This window comes from Homo sapiens, chromosome 18, assembly GCF_000001405.40.
Source record: "Homo sapiens chromosome 18, GRCh38.p14 Primary Assembly".
Lineage (NCBI taxonomy): Eukaryota > Metazoa > Chordata > Mammalia > Primates > Hominidae > Homo > Homo sapiens.
This window is the reverse complement of record NC_000018.10, coordinates 62,124,187-62,143,434: the sequence shown is the minus strand read 5'-3', so window position 1 is coordinate 62,143,434 and position 19,248 is coordinate 62,124,187. Positions and strand designations below refer to the sequence as shown.

Below are 19,248 nucleotides of genomic sequence, written 5' to 3'. Positions count from 1 at the left end.
CCATAAGTATTGGCCACTCCTAAAAATCAAATGATTTATTCTTTTTTAAATCTTAACATCAGATCTTGTGTCTGATTGTATCTTTCAGAGTGGAGATTGGAGAATTGGAAGAGGCTAGATGTCAATCAGGTATCCAGTTCGATTTTATTACATTCAAATTTAATTTTATCTTCTATAAGAAGGTTAGACAAAAACTATGAAAAAGAGATAATATTAATATTGACAAAGTCTTTTTCAAAACATTTCAGTTACTAAGGGGAATTCTTTTAGTGCAAATATTTTAGCCCAGCTAATCTCTCTTGTGGCAAAACAAACAAAACTTGAAGTGAAAATAAAAGACTTCTTCCAAATAACATTGGATAATTATTTGTTATGTAAATTGAAATTTGCATGCCTCTTAAATTTCTGTGATTGCTTTTCATGGTTGTATTGCTTAATTTAAGCACAGATCTATTAAAATTCCTGTTATGGGTTTGTTTCCTATAGTATGTCAGTTACCTTTTCTTTTTGTTAACACATATTTTACCTTTACTTCTAACCAGCAACCTTACAAATGCAATGGGGAAAAAAATGATGAGATTATAAATTACTCAGCTAGAAACCTTCTGTTAGAGGAAAATGTATAGCCAATCTGATAAAGTTAGATCAGTAGCATTGTCTGTAAATATGAAGCACAGAATTTTCATTGTTAAAAACATGCTACCTTAATAGCCATCTTCACTATTTGTAGAAGGTATAGCATCATTGGGATATGGCTTCCAAAGTGGCAGGAGTATCTTGCCTTCCAGGTCACCACACAAGCTGAGATTACTTACTGTGGTGGACAAACCAAGGTCTAGGGTCTCATTTTCAGGCCTGTGGTTGTAGAAACTTGTTTCTTCCCAGCAAAATAAGAATAGTCTTCTCCTGGGATAGATGCATACTACCCAAGTAAATGAACATGAACATATAAAGTCAGAATAGCAGTTTATTAATTTGCCATTAAAAATCACTGTCAAAAAGACGGGAATGACTTGAAGATCACAAAACAAGAACATCCCTTATTCATAGCCAGACCAGATCATAATCAGCAATTGAACATAGATTCAGTTATTGCTCTCTGAATTGTCAGTCTGTTGGCAAACACTCCTGCTTCAAATCTCCATCAAATGAGAATCTCTTTGTCTATTCATTCCTTCTACTAACACTGTGATGTGTCTGTGGTGTGTTTCAACTTTGTGCTAAGTCTAAGTATTTAGTGGTGAGTTAAGGCAGACATAATCCCTGTCCTGGGAAATGTATACCTTAGGGGTAAGAACAGATACTCATCAGTCTGTTGTACAAATACATGTAAACTTATAGCTGTGGTAAGTACTGCAACAGAGATTTGTGCAGCTGTGAGACTGTAGAGTGGATGTATATGATAGACTGTAGTCAGCAAAGGCTTCCTGAGAAGTCGAGGAATGAGCTGAGATTGATGAATAAGCAGGAATTAGCAGGCCAAGGCAGTAGGAGGAGGGCTTTTCAGGCAGAGGAAATGTGTACACTAAGTTCTGGTGAGAGGGTACATGGTGTATTAAAGGGTCTTGAAGAAAGCTGTTATATAGCAATAGAAACCATGGGGTGGTGTGAGGCAGAAGAAGGGAGGCGCAGCCCCTTCAGGGTCTCATGGGCCTTGTGAACTTAATTCTGAAAGTTCAAAGAATCCTTGAAGAGTTTGAAGCCTAGAGAGTGACACGATGTGGTTTTTTGTGTGTGAAAGAATACCCCTGGCTGCAGCATGGAGAAGAGATTAGAGGTGGCCGACAGTGGATTCTGAGGGAAAAGGAAAAGGTGACTAGGAAGACTTTGGAGATTTCCAGTTTTCTGGAGGATGGTACCTGGTAATGACAATCTAAATAGTAGAAAGTGAGAAAGACTGAGAGCCTGGGAACAAACTTGATGAATTCCAACTTTAAATGAGGGACTAGCGAACGTATCTGAAAAGGAGGAGCCAGTGAGATAGAAGAAACTCAGCTGTGTGGTGTTGAGGCCAAGAAAGGAGTGGCCTATGCCATACTGCTGAAAGGCCTAGTAATGCCAGCAACAATTGTAGCTACCATTATCACAGGCTTATTATGTGCCAGGTACTTTATAAGTTTTATCTCATTTAATCCTGTCACACCTCTGTAAGGGAAAAACTTGCATTTATTTTTTTAACTGATAAAGGAATCAAGCAACTGGAGGGTTAAAAAACCTACCTGAGAATTTGAAACTGGGCATTCTCAATTCCGAGTACTTTATTGCCTGAAAAATTATAAGGACTTACATAAACATAGTCAATTAGATTTAGAAAATGGGGTTGTTAGCTCTCTTAGAGAGAGCAGTCTTTGGAATGATAAAGGGTCATAGTGAGTCACAGTGGGCAGAAGAGTGATGGGAAGGTGAGGAAGCGAAGATAGAAAAAGCATGAACAACTCTTCCGAGAAATTGAACTTAAAGAGGAGATATCCAAAATGGTATTTGGGATCTTTTGACTAAAGAGCCTCTTCTCTGGTTTATGTCTTTTCTGGACATCACTGGCTGGTCAAACCTCCTTCTGATACTTTGTTTTTCTACTTAATATATACATTTCTCCAGTTAAAGTCTACTCTTGATATTCATTTTATGTCTAAATAAGGCATCCTTTGTATAATACTGAAAAACTGTTACATAAAATGGTCAAATTCTTAGCTAATAGGATAAGTAATTTTTTGTTTTAGTATGTTTTACATTTAGGGCCTTTAGTGGTTTCTTTTCAAAATTTTTTTTATAGGTTCATATACATCTAGCAAATGACACTTTTAGAGATTAATATCTTTTTTATTAAATACATGTTTGAAGGTAACTGATTATAACAAATATCATGGTTATTTTCCAAAATATGGTTGCATTACATTATTTAATTTCTTTGTTGATGTCCATAGACTTCTTAGAATTGAGCTTTTTTATTTGTAGGCTGATATTGCACCATTGATGACTTCCCTTATTGGAGTTCCCTTTCCTCTTAACTCAGTGGTAAGGAATAAAATTTTATTATCAACTCTCAGTATAAAAAAAAACTATCGCACAGTAAAATGTACTCTTTTTTATGTGTTTCTGAATAATCTGGGTTTTTTTTTTAGATGGGGTCTTGCTATGTTGCCCAGGCTGGTCTTGAACTTCTGGGCTCAAGCAGTCCTCCCATCTCAGCCTCCCAAGTGTCTGGGATTACAGGCATGCACCACTGCTTCCAGCTTATATAATCTTTGATTACATTTAAAACTATATATTCCTGTATATTTATTTCTAAATATGCAATACCTCATGATTGCTTGTGTATTATATTCTATAACATGGAACATGAGCCAAATAGCTTTTCTTTAAATATTTTAATTTTCTAAAATGTGTATGATTTATATCTTTGTATTCTGGTTATAATTGATAGAAATGTATAAGTAATTTTTTTATTACAAGCAGCAAAAACTGACTTCGTTTAAAGGGAAATTATTGAAAAGATATTGGTGATTTGCTGAAACAAAGTGGTGCTTGAAAACCAGCCTTGTAATAACCTGGAACCAGGATATCTGGAGACTTGGAAGAAGGAACCACAGCCATGATCCCATGGCAGAGCTGTTCTCAGGGCACTGACATGAGGGTAGAGTAGCATTATACCTTAGTTTCTATCCCTTGACTATCAGGAGTCAAATTCCAGATGGTCTAGCCTGGGTTGTAATCAGCAGGTCCCTGGATTATAAACCTAACATGCTGTATATAATGGGCAAGATTTCTCAACAGAAAATAGTAATGCTGTTAAGAATGGGCCCTGGATACTGAAATGCCAAAAAATAACTATTTCAACCAGCCACTCTTATTAGCTCTTCGAAATCAAATGTACTCTTAAAAAATAATGTTATTTAACCCAGAATGCTAAGTAATATGACCCCGACAGTCATAGTGTTTGTGTATATGTATAATGAAACAAAAGTTTAACAGAATAGTCCTTACTCTTATTATGTACAGTACACTCTGATATGTCTGAAGTCTTTTATTTTAAGTATGCTGGCTGTGGCCTACCATTGTAATTGTTTTTTGTGCGTGAAGCACTCAGTTCACTACCTAGCACGTAGTTATCTCTCAGCCAATGCCAGGTGTTACTGAATTTAATTCATCTCTTGCTTTGCTTACCTTAATACATCTACTTTGTGAGAAAAATAATAGAACATCTTTCAGTTATAGTTTTAAAAAGATTTTTCATTTAACTATTTCAATTATTTATTTGTCCATATGCCTTATCTTTATTGCTTTTAAGTCTGTTTTGTTTTATAAGGATAGCCTGAGCTGTCTGAATACTATCAATAAGCTGGTGTTTGTTATTTTCAGGGAATCCTTCCTGTGGATTATCTTAACAACACTGATCTCTTCAAAGCAGAGAGCATGTTTACAAATGCAGTACAGATTCTTGAACAGTTCAAGGTAAAAAAAAAATTCAAAAAGGCACGCACAAAAATGGACAATACTACAATTTAAATATTGAATATATTTAGGGAAAATATTTGATTTTGTTTTTAACTATTTCCCTGTAATTTACCTTTAAATTTTATGTATTTGACTTGTGTTTCACATTTCTGAAGGGTAGGTTCTATGGCTCAGTCTGAGGACATAAAATTGTGTTTGAGGAGTATGACTGCATGTAAGATTACCACATATGCTTACAAAGACTACAAGTCAATTCTTTAACTATTAGAATTTGCCCCATAGAAATCATATTAGAGATTGCAACATTTCTTGTCATTCCATGTATGTTATGAGATTCCTTAAGAATTTAAAGAGGTGACCCTTTGACTAAAACCTTCTGTTATTCTTAATGCTTTTAAGAATAAGCGGTTTGGCTTGTTTTATTTTCAGAGTTAAGGAAGTACAGTTTTAATTACAGTATGTTACTTTGCAAGATTGATATGTTTAATTCTCAGCTTATTGAGATAGTAAGAAAATGTTAAATTTTTCTTTAAATATTTATGAAACAATATAGTAACATAAAATTCCATTTATTTTCAAAGTGGTTAACCATCCCTAAAGAATCATTTTAATGGATGTTTATATTTCAAAATGGAATTCATTATTTTTCTCATTTGTAATATTTTCATACTTGGTTCCCAGGTGAAAATGACTCAGAAGAAAGAAGTTACTTTACCATTTTTGTTTACACCATTTAAGTAAGTCCCTTACATTTTTTTATTAACTTGAAGGAAAGAATTTTCCACTGAGTTTGCAATTTTTCACTGAGTGATAGGATTAGTTTACTTATACAGTTTGCCATTTTATATACATTAGTGTAAACTCCAAATTGAAATCCTCTTCTATTGCTGTTGTTAAATAATGAGCCAGGTGCTAGATAACTTTGAATGGCTGGAAGAGGGATGAGGGAATGGAGAGATACATGAGAAATATTAAGCAGGTGAACTCCACAGGGCTTGACTGGTTGGCTAGGAAGGTGTGGGGGCAGGAACGAGTGTGACTTCCTGGCACTTGGCTTGGTTGATTAGGAAGATGCTGGTACCATATGGCTTTTTGAAAGAAGAACTAGTTCAGGAGACAAAGATGAATGTTACTAAGTTCAACTTACATTTGAAGATATCAGTTAATTAATTAGAAAGAGGGGCTTGGGTCTCAGAAGATGTATGTTGCTTGTGAAGATTTTGAAGCCGTGAGAATAAAGATAGGCTGGGCGCAGTGGCTCATTCCTGTAATCCCAGCACTTTGGGAGGCTGAGGCAGGCAGATCTCTTGAGCTCAGGAGTTCGAGACCAGCCTGGGCAACATGGTGAAACCCCGTCTCTAGTAAAAATGCAAAAATTAGCCGGGCATAGTGGTGCATGCCTATAGTCCCAGCTACTCGGGTGGCTGAGGCAGGAGAATTGCTACACATGTAGGAGGCTCTAGAATTCTGGGAGACATCAGCTTCTACTGGGTGGGTGTATTAGGGTTCTCTAGAGGGACAGAACTAATAGGATAGATGTATATGTGAAGGGGAGTTTATTAAGGAGTATTGACTCACATAATCACAAGGTGACGTCCCAGAATAGACCGTCTGCAATATGAGGAGTAAAGAAGCCAGTCTGAGTCCCAAAACCTCAAAAGTAGGGAAGCTGACAGTATAGCCTTCAGTCTGTGGCCAAAGGCCCGAGAGCCCCTAGCAAACCACTGGTGTAAGTCCAAGAGTCTAAAAGCTGAAGAATTCGGAGTCTGATGTTCAAGTGCAAGCAGCATCCAGCGCAGGAGAAATATGAGGCTGGAAAACTCAGCAAGTCTGCTCATTCCACATTCTTCTGCCTGCTTTATTCTAGCTGTGCTGGCAGCTGATTAGATGATGCCCACTTGAGGGTGGGTCTGCTTCTCCCACTCCACTGACTCAAAGGTTAATCTCCTTTGGCAACAATGTCACAGACATACCCAGGAACAATACTTTACATCCTTCAATCAAGTTGACACTCAATATTAACCATCACAGTAGGCAAAGAAGAGAGCTGACTTTGGTGAGCAGCAGATTTTGCTGTCCCAGGTCCAGGAAGATGTGTTTTCCTTGCATCAGGAAAGGGAAGATCTAGATCACAGACCTGGCTCTGCACTACTGACTGCATATGTGGGCTTGCATCTTTGAGGTTCACATTCAATTAGCAAGGATTTTGCTATTGACCAATTAAATAGAAATTGTTTTATCTATGAATCTTAAGGATGTGATTGAATGACTTCATTGGAGTTATTTTTGACAACTTCTGTTGCACTAGTGTGATATTCATAAATTAGAAAGGCGGCCGGGCACGGTGGCTCACTCCTATAATCCCAGCACTTTGGGAGGCCGAGGCAGGCGGATCACAAGGTCAGGAGTTTGAGACCAGCCTGGCCAATATGGTGAAACCCCGTCTCTACTAAAAATACAAAAATTAGCTGGGCATGGTGGCGGGCACCTGTAGTCCCAGCTACTTGGGAGGCTGAGGCAGGAGAATCGCTTGAACCCGGGAGGCAGAGGTTGCAGTGAGCTGAGATCGCACTACTGCACTCCAGCCTGGGCAACAGAGCGAGACTCCATCTCAAAAATAAAAGAAAGGCATAAATATTACATTACCCTCTGAATACTGTGGTTGTATACTTGAGTTTTTATGTGTGTATATATATGTGTATAGGAGAGTAAAAATAAAATGAAATTAGGATTTTGCAAGTTATAATCATATAAAATTGATTACCCTAAATATATCATTAGGATATTATGTTATTTACATCTCTTATGCTAATTCTAATTTTCTTTTATTGTAGTATAGTAGAATTGAGATTTGTTAATGGAATTGGTTCTGAGGAATATATAAATGTTCATATGTTTTTCAAGAAATATTGATTGACTAGTATGTGTTTTGCGGATATAGCAGTGAACAGGATAGACAAAGGCTTTGCATTCATAGAGTTTATTTGTACAGTAGTGTCACAGGCAAACTATAACCAAATGAAGAAGTGAATAAGGAATACATTATCAATTCCTTTTATGAAGAAAATACACCGGCTGTTGAGAGTGAGAATAAGTGAGGGTTACTTTAGACCAGCCACTTTAGAAAGGCTGGTTAGGAGCCTGGCCAGTGTGGTGAAACCCTGTCTCTACCAAAAAATATAAAAATGAGCCAGGCATGGTGGCACCTGCTTGTAATCCCAGCTACTCGGGAGGCTGAGGCATGAGAATCACTTGAACCAGAGAGGCAGAGGTTGCAGCAGTGAGCCAAGATCCCACCACTGCACTCCAGCCTGAGCAACAGAGTGAGACCCTGTCTGAAAAAAAAAAAAAAAAAAAAAAGACAAAGAAAAAACAAAAGAAAAGAAAGAAAGGCTAGTTAGGGAAGGACTCTTCGTCAAGGGTTCAGGTGCACACTGCTACCCCTTTTTCCACGTGGCATGGTAACTGATCATAGACTTCCCCTATTTTGATGTTCAGTGTCTGCCTGCACATACATATTCAAAGCCACTGTGTCCTCTGGGGGTCTGGCGGGATGGCTGATTCCCATGTACTGGTTCACCCACTCTAGAGCATAGTGACCAGCCCTGCCTGTAGACCTGTCTGGCTAAAAATCACCACTTGCTAAAAGCCTGCAATATGGTCAAAAAAATCTAAGATAACATGAGAAATGGACTCTTGAGGTCATATGAAATTCAAGGAACAGAACCAAACCTAAAAACATTAAAATTCTCAGAAATATTTAAGAAACTATTGCATCCATAAAACAAAAGCAGCATTAACTTTGCAAAATGTAGAAAGGTACTAGATGCATTAAAAATAACTTCTACATTTAATAAGAAAATAAATATTTCATAAGAATGCAACAAAAAACTTAAAGATAAGTTGTATAAGAATGGTCCAAATGAGAGGCAGATCCTCCAAATTAGAATAGGAAGTGAGTGGACCTCAAACTAAATGAAATGAATTTTAAGTAGTAGATGGATTGAGTAAGAAGCTGGAGGAAATTAAGGACATGATGTATACATAGAAAGCATACATTTCTTCATCCGCCCGCCCATCAAAAAAAACAATGACAATCAGAAACTTAAGGGAGAAAGAAACATTTCAAACTTTACAAGAAAGCATGCTTCAAATATAAAGCACCCTCAGATGTGGCATGATTTTGAACAGTTGCTAGGAGTGTGAGAAAGGGAATTCATTTGAACATTGTCATGTGGATCAAGGCTTTAAAGAAATAGATGAGAAAATCTAATTGTAGCATAAAACTTTGTTTTTCAGTGGACAGTATTTAAATAGTCATGTGATATAAGTATTGGTTTTCAGCTTTTAGAGTCAATCCTTGGACAAAGCAGGGAAGAATGAATTATGATTACAGAATAGAATGCAAATGTTAGCAGCCTTGAAAATGTACAAGTGCAGTTAACAGGTTGGAAGGCAGAGAGGGAAGGAAATGTACATGGAATAGTAGCGGTGCTATTGTCTTCATGAAATAGAATATGGAGAATTTTATCTTTAGTTGAATTCGTCAGAGGTTTAGGTATTAGTTTTTGTTTTGTTTTGTTTTGTTTGAGACTGACTCTCGTTCTGTTGCTCAGGCTGGAGTGCAGTGGCGCAATCTTGGCTCACTGCAACCTCTGCCTCCTGGGTTCAAGCAATTCTCCTGCCTCAGTCTCCTGAGTAGCTGGGCTTACAAGCACGCCACCACGCCCAGCTAATTTTTGTGTTTTTAGTAGAGATGGGGTTTCACCATGTTGGCTAGGCTGGTCTCGAACTCCTGACCTCGTGATCCACCCACCTCGGCCTCCCAAAGTGCTGGGATTACAGGCATGAGCCACCACGCCCAGCCTTAGGTATTAGATTATGAAAGTAACCAAGGTCACCAAAAGAGGAGGTAAAAATGTGATATAGCCAAATTGAGTGGGGAGGAAAGCCAGAGACAACAAGGGGTCAACAAAAAGTACCCCCAGTCATCAAGTCAAGAAAAAGTAAGAAGAACATGTTTTTTAAAAATGTAGGCAAGTACCGGAATAACTAAAAACAAACACATGTAAAAGTTTTTGGTCTGGGTTGGTGAACTGAGAAATGAAAAAGAGTTATTATGCCCTTGTGTAGTGTTTGATTTTTAAAAAATATGTGCATATATTGCTTTGATAAAACTTATTTTTAAAAGTATGTTTATCAAAATAAATAGATATTCTAATCATTGGCACAAATTCAGTAGAATATGTAATTGGAAAAGGATACTATTCATAATAGAAATAAAATACCCAGCAATAAAATAATGAGAAATGTATATTGTAAAGAAAACTGTCAAATTTTATTAAGGACATAACAGGCAATATAAACAAACAAATGTTGGATAATACTGTTCAATACTGTAAAAATGTCGGTCCTCTCCAAATTACTTACTGAATATGGTATTATAACAAAAGGATTTTTGTATAACTCAAAAACATAATTTTAAAATTTATATCAAAAATAAATTCTCAAGAATAGCTTAATTAGTTTTGAGAAAGAAGAACAAGATAAGAGATTTGCTCTGCTAGATAACAGAACACATTCTAAAGCTATTATAACTCTAAAAAATGTAGTATTGATGCAGGCCAAACATATAGATTTAGTGGAACTGATTCGTGAGTACATAAAGAGATAAGATTCACTTGTCTACAACGTGCACCTTGACTTATGATGGGGTTACATCCCTAAGTTGCAAATAATGTAAGTGCAAAATGGATTTAATACACCTAACCTACTGAACATCATAGCTTAGTCTAGCCTACCTTTAATGTGCTGAGAACACTTAACATTAGCCTACAGTTGGTCAGAATCATCTAACATAAAGCCGACTGTATAATAAAGTATTGAATATCTCATGTAATTTATTGAATACTGCATTGAAAGTGAAGAACAAAATGATTGTGTGGGTACTCAAAGTATGCTTTCTACTGAATGCATATCACTTCCATGTTAGCTGAAAAATCCTAAGTCAAACTCTCATAAGTTTGGGACAATCTGTATATGGGATTTGGTTTTGACTGAAGGTAGTGTTTCAAATCAGTAGGAGAAAGATTTGTACTAAGAAAATTGACCATTTGGAAAAAATAAGGCTAGCTCTTGTAACCTCATTTCATTCACAAAACTAAATTCTACATTGATTAAAGAACTGAATATTTAAAAATAAGTAAAAGTGTGAGGTCTATAAAATATAAAATTTAACAGTCATATGGAAAAGATATTAGCTAGCATCATAATCAGAATTTTATTTTATCATTTTTTTTTAATAGAGATGGGATCTCCCTATGTTGCCCAAGCTTATCTTGAACTCCTGGGCTCAAGCGGTCTGCCTGCCTTGGCCTCCCAAAGTGCTGGGATTGCAGGTGTGAGCTACTGTGCCTGACTGTAATCAGAATTTATTAATTATATCAGTTACATAAAATTGGAAAATATACCAGAACCAGGTGGAATACTAAATTGAAAATTATTTTTTAATCATTTAGGGAGATGTGAACCACAGAAATTATTTGTTAAATTATTTTTAAGAGTATTTAGTTTCACTCATTAAAAATTTCATTCCCCCTTGAGGTATTTTGAAATAGAATATTTAAGGGCATTGACTAAATGTTAGCTCTGCATTACAAGTCTTTAATGTTTGGTGTTATCAGAAAAAACAGTTATCACCATTTACTGAGTACCATCGACCCTTTATTTCTTTAGTCCAGTGGGTTTTTTTCACATTAACATCATATATTTCTTTTTAATCACTTTTATATATGCACATAATGTCAGCATGTCTTCTTAGAAACTATATCAAGTAAATGTGGGCCTATAAACATAAAAGATCAAAGAGTACTGTTGTCACACATGCTTTTAGCAAAAAAGATAACCCAGGTTCTTTTCACAAACTATTGTGTAATAAAGTCTTTCCTTTTGTATAAGCATCATTTTTTTTTGTTCTTAGAAATATATTGTTCACTTGTCTGTTCTTAACTTGAGAAAATTCATCTAGGACATTGGCATCTGAAAATTCATAGTATCAAAATTTTCGTGACATGATTAATTTCACCAGCATTATTAGATTTTAGTTTAATGGTATCTTCACCATTTTTCCATTATCTTGTTCAGTCTTTTCTAGCATAGTTATGAGTAATTGGTGAATAATAAAATAATTCCTAGGGTAATGAAATAGCAAATGTTTCAGGACGTAGGAAAAATAAAATTGCCAAGATTCTTTATCTTAGGCTTGTAAAAGGGTCTAACAGGGCCATGTGGTAATTGCATATCCTATTTTTTTGCAAAAATAAATAAATTTTCTCTTTGATATTTTAAAGACCTCTAAAAAGAATAAAAGTCATAAAACATCCATTCTGATAAAGAGAACTGCTAAAAAACAAACACCTGAAGCTAAAATTGGGTCTGGCAGACCCTGGTGATGGTATGCTGAAGGATGACCAGCAGGTGGAGCTACATGACCAGGAGAGGCATAAAAGGATCACCCATCTGTAAAAGGAGGAAAAACACTTTATGTTTAAAATTGTATACTTTAGAGGCTGGAGTAAGACAAGAAATAATTTAAAAGAAAAAATGCCACAGAATAAGAAGAAAGCAAAAAAGATCTCTTCAGAGATATCTTAGGGGGAAGAATACGGAATTGGGAAGGGGATATATACCTTGCCAATAGAAGCAAAAATATTTGTTACTTTTTTATTTGAAAATTATTATATAAATTTGATAAACAAAGAAATTTTAACAAAAAACTGTATTTTCTACTAAAATGGCAACAGTATTTGGTTTCTCTTATAAAATTTGTTTCTTTTAGCTGATAAAGGCCCTTCCCTTAGACCCAACTTAAATACTAGCTTGTATGTGAACCTTTCTACCAGTTTACCTATCTGATTTACTAATTATTTGTAAGAAACATAATTTTCTGCTTCAAAACTGAAATTTATCTTTAAAAAAAACTTCTGTGCATCACATACCTACATAGAAAAATATTATTCATTTATTCACTTATGACATGAAGGGTGATACGATTCTATATCATTGGTCATGCTAAAGGAATGAAAATTATTCTAGAAATAACTTTTTATCCTGCTTTCTCTGTCTTTATACTCTTAAAATATTTTTCCCTTTAAATAGACATTCTAAAAAGGAATAGACAAGTATTACTAAAATATTAGGTCATGTGTAGATGAAAGCAAAAAAAATTTGTAACAAAAATCAGAGTAAGAAAGGGCAGCATTTTAGGAGATCTTGTCCTCTAAACACTAGCTGACCCTGAATAATTGATAAAATTCTTGGTAATCCTAAAATGTGGTTTACCTTATTCTATAGTATTAAGTAACCATTAAAAAAATGAATAGTAACAATTACAGCAAAGTAATGTGCACAGATTAAGACAACTCATTTCTCTCTTTTTTTTTAACTTAAACATGACATGTTTATAGATTCTTTAAAACTTGATATTTTCAATAAAAACAATTTAGTCAATAAAGGAAATTTTTCCTCACAAATTACTATGTAGAATGTTGTATTTCAAACATGTTGCTTTTTAAGTTAATACTTCATTAGTTTATCCATATCTGTAACTATGCATAGATTAAAGGGAAAATGAACAACAAATAGTAAAACCATCACTTTTCCTTGTGGGCAATCTGAATTTGGGCAGTTGATAGGAAGATATATTAGTTTTCTAGGGTTGCCATAACAAACTACCACAACCTACATGGCTTAGCATAACAGAAATACATTCTTTCACAGTTCTAGAGACTAAAGTCCAAAATTAAGGCTAGGAGTCCAAAAGCAAGGTGTCACCAGAACCATGCTCCCTCCAAAGGCTTAGAGTAGAATCTTCCCTTGCCTCTACCTAGCTTCTGGGGGCTGCAAGCAATCCTCGGTTTCCTTGGCTTGTAGCTTTATCATTCTACTCTCTATCTCTGTCATCAGTGGTCTTCTTCCTTGTGTCTCTGTCTCCAGATCTCCCTCTCAAGGACACCAGTCACTAGATTTAAGGTTCACCCTAATTTAGTATTAATGTGCTTTAGCTTGATGATGTCTACAAAGACACTATTTCAAAATCAGGTCACATTCCCAGATACCAGGGGTTAGGACCTTTTTGGGGGACACAATTTAACTCTCAACAGAAATTAATAGTTTACATTTGTCATCATTTCAGCCATTGCAGAGTAATTATCTTACAATGCTTCATTGATTTACTTAACCAGTATTTATTGTTTTCCTACTGTGTCCCAGGCACTATACTGATGTTGGAAAAGATAGACGTAGTGCCTGCCCTTGTTGGACACAAAGTCTAATGGGAACATATAGACAGTATAGCAAATGATACAGCATGATAAGGGATAATTCAATGTATTATGAGTGACTGTTTTTGTAAGAACAGTTGAGGAGCACCAAACCCACAGATGAGGGATGCAAATTTATAGGAAGTTAAATAAGACAACTTCAGTGAAGGCAGTGTTGGAAAGAGAACTTTTGATTTGTTGATACCTCAGAGAGCAGCTGAGATGGAGACGCAAGAAGTCTTCAGCTCAACGCACTTCTGAGGTAGTAACAGCCAATATACTAGCTTTCATTAACTTGACACTAATTGCTATGGGCTGCAGTGGGTCTGAGACAGCTAAGAATGTGGACTTAAGGTGGGAAAGTATGGCAGTGATGTGCTAACAAGAGACTCAGCTCTCTGAGAGAGGGAAAGACTCCCATTAATAGCCTTTGCCAATTTCATTGGTATAAATACGCTCACTATGATCAATCTCAAGCTACCAAGGATGATGCGACTAGAGAAAGGGAAGAGTTGTACACCATCTGCTCTCGGGAGCTGGTGTGAGCAGCCCTCAGCACGCCACTGAGGGAGGGAGAGAAGGGAGTAAGGAATTGAGGCAAGGGGAGAGAAAGCCAGGTGTTGAGAGCTAATAGAAAGTGCTTTCCAATATTGGCTTTGCATTGTCCTTGGAAGGGAATTTTGCAGGGAGTGAGTGGGGAGATCTGCATTTCCAATGAAACATCGTTGTATACTTATATTTTAATATTTCTTTATGATGACTTCTTATTTTGAAGCCAAATAGAAGAAACTTAATAGTTTATTTTTGCCTTACATTTTTCATGTTAAATATATTAAAGAAAATGTATTTTAGCTAAGGGACAGTAGATGCAAATGTAATAATAAAATATTATAGCCCTCTAGAAATAATGGGCTTATAGAATTTAATGAATATTTTAAACATTTTATTAAAATATTTTAATGACTCAAAACCCACTTTTGTAATGTGAAAACAAAGGATAATTTTTTCCTCATATCAACCTAAATGAACTCTTCTACCTTTTTTTCTTTTCTTTTTTTTCTTGATCTCTGTGGCTGCATGTGAGTATCCAGCTGTGCCCTGAGCTAACACTGTTACCTATGCAGTGATTCTGGAGTTGGGTAGCTTTTCCCCCTGATCTCTTATGGACCCCATCTGTTCTAAAGTTCCTTGTTTAAATGTAAAATACCTTCCGTGGCCTAGTGGTTTTAATTATGTTACTAGCTCTGTGGTCTGATCATTTAGGAGTTTCTTTGGCATTCCTCCTGGCTGGCTTCCAGCCATTTCTTTGTTTATACTTTTTACCACAAGCAAATCTCATCATCTCCAAAGATGATATCTCTGAAAGTCCTCAGTTTGTCACACCAGTCACAAGTATCTGAAAAGAGGGGAAGAAAATAATCAAATCCTTTTCCCCAAGTTTGAAATTCAGGAATTTTATATATTTTTTTGGTAATGTCATGAATAGTATAGTGATTTTTAAATGTATAGTTGTTTTATATATGATATTTTTAAATTCAGGAATAATTCTTGTGGGAATTATAAGATGTTTTTGACATTATAAAAGTGGGAATAAAAAATATTTTAGAAGATAAATATCCTAAACCAAGAGTTAGAAAATTTCATAAGGATTTTTCATAAGTTTGTTGGTATGTTTTCCATGTGTAGTTTCCCATGCATTTTCTTGTTGGGAAAATAGCACCATGTATTTTTAATTGCCATTTCCATCATCAGTCCTATCTTCTCCTTCCGCTATTATGTATGTTTATTATGGCCTGGATAATTGGAGTAAGAAAAATGCCACAGGATATAGGTCCCAGCTACTCAGGAGGCTGATATGGGAGGATCACTTGAGCCAAGGAGATCAAGGCTCCAGCGAACCTCAGTCACACCACTGCGTTCCAGTCTGGGTGAAGAAGCAATACCTTGTCTCAAAAAACAAAACAAAAAAAAAACACACAAAAAAACCAGACTGTTGCAGTTGTTCAAGCAAATGATAAGGTCTTGCACCATTGCTTTCCTCATGACTACCCGCTCACAGTTATTATGTACTTAGTGTATGCAAGGCACTGTTTTAAATAATTTATCAGTGTTCGCTCATTTAATTCTTAAAACAGCCTGATATGGCGGGTACTGTTATTACAGATACTTCGGCTGCAGTGGTTTGACTTAGGATTTTTCGACTTTATGATGGTGTGAAAGCTATACGCATTCAATAGAAACCATACTTCAGCAACAGTATTCAATAAATTACATGAGATATTCAGCACTTTAGTATAAAACAAGCTTTGTGTTAGATAATTTTGTCAAACTGTAGCCTGATGTAAATATTCTGAGTACATTTAAGATAGGCTAGGTTAAGCTATGATGTTTGGTTGGTTAGATGTAAATGGAAATTGACTTAAGATATTTTCAACTTATGGTGGGTTTATTGGGATGTAGCATTATCTTAAGTTGAGGAGCACCTGTATCTCATTTTCACATGAGGAAACTGAATCAGAATGATACTTCCCCCAAGTAACAGAATTAGTAAACATTGAAGCTAGGATGGAACCCAGGCAGTCTGGCACAGAATCTATCACTAACCAGGGTAAGATTTATCCTTCCCAGTGTCCTCCTTGAGAAATACTGCTTTAAGATTGACAAGATAGGAATGGAAGGAAGTTAGGGGTTTAAGGTACAATGGAAGTTGAATCATTAAGGTACAATGGAAGTTGAATCATTCAACAATTAAGTTGAACGGATGTTGGACATATATTATGATTTACTAAACTGCTGCTCATAGGATGAGGGTCAAGTTCAGTTGTGGATCTGCTGAGTTTGAGCTGTCTGTAGAACAGCATCATGGTGTGACTGTATAGACAATCGGAAATCTGAATCTAAAGCTCAGGAGCAGGAATCAAGCTCTAAATATAGATTTTGGAAATTATCCATACCCTAGTATTAATTGATGCTGTGAGGCTGGGTGAAATCCCTCAGTTAAGGATACTAGAGGCTGGAATATTGGGCAAGGACAGAGGGAAAGCGTAGGAAGTGCTAATATTGTTTTTCCCTATTTTTACATTTTGTAAAATAGATTTTCAATACATGATGAAACTGGGATGCAGAGACTTTAAAAAGTTCACATGAAGCTTTTAAGCACATATAAGCATTTCATTACAGTGATTTTTATGTTCCTTGATCATAGTTTACACTAGTTCTTTTGCTCCAGCCTAATAAATCACTCAGCACCTGTAATATAAAATGATATTTTCTGTGGTAAAATTTTAGAAAAATGACATAAACTTGTCAGTTTGCAAACACTATAGTGTTTACCATGAATTCATGACATCAATATTTAGTTTATCTGGCAGAATGTAGAAAAATGTATTAATCACTAGAAAGTATGATAATTATTATTTAAATGTTATATATGTTGAAAGAATCTTAGGACAAACAGGTGAAGTCTTATGGTATTTTGTGATATATATAATAATATTTTTGAAACTGCTTTTGTTTGTTAATAAAAATAGAAATTGCATGGAGAAATTGCTTGGCCAAAAATAGATACAATGACTGATCCAGATACTCTTGTTTTCAGATTTTTTTCTCATGCTGTTTTAATTGTAAACTGTTATACAATTGGGTTACTAAAACCCTTGATGGGTTCTAGTAATCACCAACTAGTAAGTCATAAAACTTTTGTAACTTACTGTATTTCAGAATTGTTATTCAGATTTTCCAAATTATTCTTTGTGAGTTATGTATGATGTCATGAAAACACTGATTTTTGTGTTTTTCATTCGTATTTTAAAATATTTAGTTATTCTAGTTTTATAACTTTAACATCCCATTTTAAAGCAAGACTTAAAAAAGTTTTTTCGTAATAGAATATACACCAAACACAACCTTAGTATTTATCAAAGAAAAACAAATTCAAGTTAGACATACTTTTTTCCATTTTTGAAATTAGCAAAAAAGATTTTTATATGATTATGTTGCTAAATGGACACAAAATGCTGTTGTAGTATACACGTATATAATCACTCTTTTGGAGAGTAAATTCCACACTGTAAAGAACCTTAAAGTATTTAAAATCTTTAACCAAGCAGTTCCATCGTGTGATACAGAACTTCAGGAAGTGAATGTGAAAAAGTCTTTGCCCCAAGGTATTCATCCTAGGATTGCTTATAATCAAAAAAATGGAAAGCCACATAATTGAACAATAATAACATGTCTACTAGAAAGACTATGCAACCATTAAATGTTCTGTTTTCAGATTCTAATATGTCTTAGAATAATGTTTATAATATAATCATCAACAAAATGCAACTTACAAAGTTACACATTTGGTATGATTACAACTACATTAAAAATTCGTGTGTGTGTGTGTGTTTATACACATATATACAAACGTGTATATTTATATACACATATGTACAAACGTGTATATTTATATACACATATGTACAAACGTGTATATTTATATACACATATGTACAAACATGTATATACACATATGTACAAACGTGTATATTTATATACACATATGTACAAACGTGTATATATACATGTATGTACAAACATGTATATTTATATACATGTATGTACAAATTGTATATTTATATATAAAGGGAATTTAATGAAAAATGCTAACATTAGTAAGATATGTGCTCTGGCAGTGATTTTTATTTTTTACTCATGCTTTTTTTGTATTTAACTATTAAAAATAATTACATGTTTTTTGACGAGAAAAATATTTTTAAAAGAGAAGTATTTCTATAGTTTATAGTTTTCTGAAATAGGTTTACATAAAGGCACATAATGAGACATAAAGTTTTTTAGCAAAGAAAAATAGGCAAAATGTAAAATAAATTTTGCCTGTTTTCCCATGCACACACATTGAAAGGAAACACAACAAAAATTTCAAAGCATGTTGGAGAAGGCCCTAAGGCATATGATGTCTGGTATTTGAAGAAGTGCAGGAAAGAGCAAAAGAGAGGAATGGGCAGGGGCCATATCTCTCCTCATAGGCAGGTTTAGCATTTTTACTTTGTCCTCAAAGTAGTGGATTTTAAGGCATGGTTAGATTTGCATTTTACGCATATCATTCACAGGTACCTGTGAGTTGTGGGAAGCAGGTTTTCCTCCACTTTAGAGATAATAAACCTGAAACTCCCAAGTCCTTAGTTACCTTGCTAGTGAGATTTACAGCTAAAACTTGAATCTAGACAGTCTCTCTCCTAATCTGGTATCTTTTTTTGCCATTCCTTCTGCCTCAAATGATATGTAATTTAGTACCTTTATGTTTTTAAAGGGAATACCATCAGATCTTTTGGTAAATTAGTAAATTTAGTGAAATTTGGTAAGTATTCTTTTAAGCAGATTTAGATCACATGTATAGTTCAGTAATATAGTAAATAATGGTATTTCTGTGGAATGCTTGGTCTACTAATGTTGCTGTGGTTTATTTAAT

The 19,248-nt window shown here is 35.0% G+C and overlaps 1 protein-coding gene across 47 annotated transcripts in view; it reads left to right on the top strand.

Moving 5' to 3' along the window:
• PIGN (phosphatidylinositol glycan anchor biosynthesis class N) overlaps positions 1 to 19,248 on the top strand; it is a 169,442-nt gene that overhangs the window by 43,622 nt on the left and 106,572 nt on the right. For all 47 annotated transcript variants that reach the window (XM_047437461.1, XM_047437431.1, XM_047437439.1 and 44 more), the window contains 4 exons: positions 89 to 129; positions 2,956 to 3,015; positions 4,360 to 4,452; positions 5,137 to 5,192. In XM_047437461.1, the coding sequence (XP_047293417.1) occupies positions 89 to 129; positions 2,956 to 3,015; positions 4,360 to 4,452; positions 5,137 to 5,192 (250 nt within the window). The remainder of the gene's footprint in view (positions 1 to 88; positions 130 to 2,955; positions 3,016 to 4,359; positions 4,453 to 5,136; positions 5,193 to 19,248) is intronic.